The sequence below is a fragment of the Homo sapiens genome, chromosome 2 (genome assembly GCF_000001405.40).
Source record: "Homo sapiens chromosome 2, GRCh38.p14 Primary Assembly".
In the NCBI taxonomy this organism is placed as follows: domain Eukaryota; kingdom Metazoa; phylum Chordata; class Mammalia; order Primates; family Hominidae; genus Homo; species Homo sapiens.
Window position 1 is genome coordinate 61,778,242 of NC_000002.12, and position 5,340 is coordinate 61,783,581.

At 38.1% G+C, this 5,340-nt stretch overlaps 1 annotated feature.

Moving 5' to 3' along the window:
* Positions 4,899 to 5,099: a silencer, noted in NCBI's record as "peak3722 fragment used in MPRA reporter construct". NCBI's record gives its function as "represses an SCP1 promoter by STARR-seq MPRAs in K562 erythroleukemia cells {active_cell/tissue: K562}" and the evidence as "EXISTENCE:reporter gene assay evidence [ECO:0000049][PMID:32103011]".

Consider the following 5,340-nt stretch of genomic DNA (forward strand, 5'->3'; position numbering starts at 1 on the left):
AGGTTTGCTGAGGGCAATCACTCCCTGGCACCGGGCTCCTTGAAGTTATCTACTGGGACAACTAGAGCCTACTGTTCAAGGAATGTGGTCTTGCAAGCCTACTCTAGACCGAGCAGCTGACCTCTTCTTCCACACCCCCACTTGTCTCTATCTCTTTTGCCAAATAAATACGGAGGGCTGTTCAGGACCCTTGTCCACTACAGGCAAGGTGCCCTCTGACCCCTTCTTCCAAATATAATCTTTTGTCTTCGTCTTTATTCCCACGTTCGCCTGCCTTTGTTCAGTCCACCACGGATTGAGATCGGTTACAATGCCACTGCTCTCCAGCCTAGGCGACAGTGAGACTCCGTCTCAAAAAAAAAGAAAAAAGAAAAAGGCGTTTGAAGAAATAATGCTTGAAAACTTCTCAAATTTGTTGAAAGACAAACATACAGATTCAAGAATCCCAACAAATCCCAAAAGGATAAACCCAAAGAAATCCATCCTCAGACACGTCATAATCAAACTGCTGGATAAATAAACACACATGAAAAAAAATTTTTTTTAAGAGACAAGGTCTCACTCTGTTGCCCAGGCTCATAGCCTCAACCTCCTGGTCTGAAGAGATCTTCCAGCCAAAGCCTCTTGAGCAGCTAGGACTACAGGTGGATGCCATCATGCCTGCATGATTTTGTACTTTTTTTTTTTTTTTTTTTGTAGAGGGAGGGTCTCACTATTCTGCACAGGCTGGTCTCCAACTCCTGACCTCAAGTAATCCTCCCACCTCAGTCTCCTAAAGTGCTGGAATTACAGGTGTGAGCTACTGCACCCAGCCAAAAAAACTCTTGAAGGAGATTTTTTCCAGGAATCTAGAGGGGAAAAAATGCATTACATAGGGGAAAAATGAAGATGGATTTTTTTAATAAAAAATCATGAAGACCAGGAGAGGCAGAGAATTTATAAAGTGCTGAAAGATTTTAATATTCCCCTCAATTTTATAGCCAACAAAAATCCTTCAGAATTGAGGTGAAATAAAACAATCTCAGATGAAAGAAAATTAAGAGGATTTGTGGCAAGAAGACCTATGCTTAAAAAAAATAAGTGCTAAAGGAAGTTTTCAGGCAAAAGGGAAATTATACTAAAAGGGAACTTAGAACATTAGGAATAAAGAGGCTGGGCGCGGTGGCCCACACCTATAATCCCAGCACTTTGGGAAGCTTAGGCGGACAGATCACTTGAGATCAGCAGTTCAAGACCAGCTTGTCCAACATGGTGAAACCCCATCTTTACTAAAAATACAAAAATTAGCTGGGCATGGTGGTGCATGCTACTCGGAGGCTGACGTGGGAGAATCACTTGAACCCAGGAGGCCAAGGTTGCAGTGAGCCAAGATCACACCACTGCACTTCAGCTGGGGCATCAGAGTGAGACCCTGTCTCAAAAAAAAAAAAAAAAATGAAGAGCAGCAGAAATGGTAAATATATAGGTAAATATAATGAATTATTCTTCTACGCTTGTAGTTCTTTAAAATATGTTTGATGGTTAAAAGCAAAAATTATAACAATGTCTGATAGGGTTTTCAGTGATTACAGATGTCATACATAAGACAGCAATAAAATATGGAGGGGAACTATACAGTGGTAATGTTTTTAAATCTCACTTATAGTGGTAATATATTAATTTTAAGTAGATATTGAAAAGTTATATATGTTGCAATCCCTTGAGCAATCATTTAAAAATTGGACAAAGACATATAGTAAAAATGTCAATACACAGATTAAAATGGAATACTAGGCCAGGCACGGTGGCTCACGCCTTTAATTCCAGCACTTTCAGAGGCCAAGGTGGGCAGATCACCTGAGGTCAGGAGTTCAAGACCAGCCTGGCCAATATGGTGAAACTCCATCTCTATTAAAAATACAAAATTAGCCGGGCGTGGTGACACACACTTGTAATCCCAGCTACTCTGGAGGCTGAGGCAGGAGAATCACTTGAACCCAGGAGGCAGAGGTTGCAGTGAACTGAGACCACGCCATTGCACTCCAGCCTGGGCAAAAAGAGTAAAACTCCTTCTCAAAAAAAAGGAATACTAAAAAATGCTCAAATAAAACACAGAAGAATTCAGGACAGGGGAAACAAAGGAATGGAAAACAGAGGAACCAAACAGAAAACAAATAATAAAATGGTTGACTGAAACCCATATATCAGTAGTTATATTAAATGTAAATTACCTCAGTGCACCAACTAAAAACAGAGATTGTCTAAATGAACCTCAAAAAACCCATGACACAATATGCACTGTTAAAAGAAACTTATGTCACATATGATATAGAGATTAAATGTAAAGGAATGGAAAAAGATATAACATGCAAACTAATCAAAAGGAAACTTGGATGGCTATATGGATATAGGACAAGATAAACTTCAGAGCAAAAAAGTGACCAGGGATAAAGAAAGTCATTTCATAGCAATAAAGGAGTCCGTTCATTAAGAGGACATAAGAATTCCAATTGTTTATGCACCTAACAATAGAGCTTCAAAATACATTAAGCAAAGCCTGTAAGAAGTAAAAGAATAGACAAATCCACAATTATTGTTGGAGAATTCCACACTCCAGTCTTGCAAATAGATAAAACAGACAGAAAATCAACAAAAACGTAGAAGAAATATATATGGAAGAATTAAACTTCAAGGTCTAATACAATATAACACTTCACCCAACAACAGCAGAATACATATTATTTTAAGGGCACAAGGAGGATTAAAAACGATAGACGATGTACTGGATCATAAAACAAACAATAACCAATTAAAAAGAACAGAAAATAATACAAACTGTTGTCTAACCATAATGAAATTAGAAATCAATAACAAACAAGATAACAAGAAAATCTCCAAACAGTTGGATATTATACAATGCAATTTTAAATAATCCATGGATCAAAGAGGAAGTCTAAAAGAAAATTAGGAAATGTTTTGAAGTTTTTTTAAAAAAGAAAATACAACATATCAAAACTATGAGATGCAGCTAAAGCAGTGTTTAGAGGAAATTTTATAGCATTAAATGCTTATAATTAGGCCAGGCAGGGTGGCTCATGCCTATAATCCTAGCACTTTGGGGAGGCCCAGATGAGCGGATCGCTTGACCTCATGAGTTTGAGACCAGCCTGGGCAACATGGCAAAACCCCATCTCTACAAGAAATACAAAAATTAGCCAGGCGTGGTGGTGCATGCCTGTGGTCCCAGCTACTCAAGAAGCTGAGGTGGTAGGATGCCTTGAGCCCAGGAGGCAGAGGTTGCAGTGAGCTGAGATTGTGCCACTGCACTCCAGCCTGGGGGACAGAGCAAGACTCTGTCTCAAAAGTAATAATAATAATAATAATAATAGTAAATGCTTATATTAGAAAAGAAAGCTCTCAAGTCAATTACCTCAGTTTTCATCTTATGAAAACTAGGAAAAGGAAGAGCAAAATAACCCCAAAGCAAGCTGAAGAAAGGAAATAATAAAACTAAGAGCATAAAAATCAATTAAATTGGAAACAGAAAAATAGAGAAAAATTAAAAATCCAAAAGTTGGTTTTTTGAAATGATCAATAAAATTGACAAACTTTTAGCAAGACTGACAAAGAGATAATACAAATTACCCATACCCAGACTGAAAGAGGCCATATCACTACAAACTCTACAGACATTAAAAGGATAATAAGAGAACAATATAAACAACTTTATACACACAAACCGTATACACATAAACTCAACAACTTAGAAGGAGTGGACCAATTCCTCACCAACCACTGTTAAAAGAAAAACTTCAGCCAAATTAAATTTAAAGGTGTTTAATTGAGCAAAGAATGATTCGCGAATTGGGCAGCCCTCAAAATCACAGCAGATTAAGAGAGACTCCAGCGCAGCCATGTAGTGGAAGAAGATTTATGGACAGAAAAAGGAAAGAAAGTACAGAAAACGGAAGCGAGGTACAGAAACAGCTGGATTGGTTACAGTTCAGCATTTGCCTTATTGGAACACGGTTTGAACAGTTGGCTACATTTGATTGGCCAAAACTCAGTGACTGGCACAGGTGCGGGCTATGGTCAGTTTATACCTCCACTTGTTATACTTCACGATGTATAGAAAAACCTTTAGGTCGAACTTAAATATTCAAGGAGGCAGCTTTAGGCTAAACTTGATTTAATACCACAAACTACTAAAATTCACCCAAAATGAAATAGGAAGGGATGAAGAGGGAACGAACCCCACCTCATTTTATGATGCCATCATTAGGCTGATATTAAAATCAAATACATTACAGAAAAGAAAGCTACGCATTAATGTACCTTAATGACAGAAAAATCTTCAATAAAATTTAATTCAGTAACAAAAAATTGACCACATCATGACCAAGCAAGGATTATTTTGGGAATGTAAGCTGGTTCCATATTTGAAAATCTGTGTCGGCCGGGCGCAGTGGCTCACGCCTGTAATCCCAGCACTTTGGAAGGCTGAGGTGGGTGGATCACCTGAGGTCAGGAGTTTGAGATCAGCCTGGCCAATATGGCGAAACGCCGTCTTTACTAAAAATACAAACATTAGCCAGGCGTGGTGTTGGGCACCTGTAATCCCAGCTACTCAAGAGGCTGAGGTAGGAGAATCGCTTGAACCCGGGAGGAAGAGGTTGCAGTGAGCCGAGATCTTGTCATTGCACTCCAGCCTGGGAAACAAGAGCAAAACTCCCTCTCAAAAAAAAAAAAAGAGAGAGAGAGAAAAGAAAATCAATGTCATCTACCTTCTTAACAGCCTAAGGAAGGAAAACTACATGATCGTTAATTGATACATAATTACCAATTGTGTATCAATTGAGAAAAATAGAAAAAGGTAAATGCCAATTTATGATTGAAAGAAAATAAAACCACTCAGCAGACTAGGGATAGAAGGGACTTCCCTCAACATGATAGAGGGTATCTTCAAAAAAAACCTACAGCTAACATTATCCTTAGTGATGAAAGGCTGAATGCTTTCCCCCTAAGATTAGGAACAAGGCACAGCTGTCTACTCTCACCACTCCTACTCAACATGGTTATGGAAGTCCTAGCCAGTTAGCAAGATAAAGAAAGAAAAGGCACACAGATTAGAAAGAAGGAAAACAACAACAACAAAACCTTTCTTTATTTGCAGATGACATGGTTGTTTACAAAGAAAATCCAAAATAATCTGTCAAAAAAAATCTAGGACAAATAAGTGAGTTTAGCAAGGTTGCAGGATACAAGTTCAACGTACAAAAATCAATTGTATTTTTTTATTAAATTTTTTTAATTTAAAATGTTTAAGTGTTTAGTTATTTTCTAAAGCCAGGGTCTCACTCT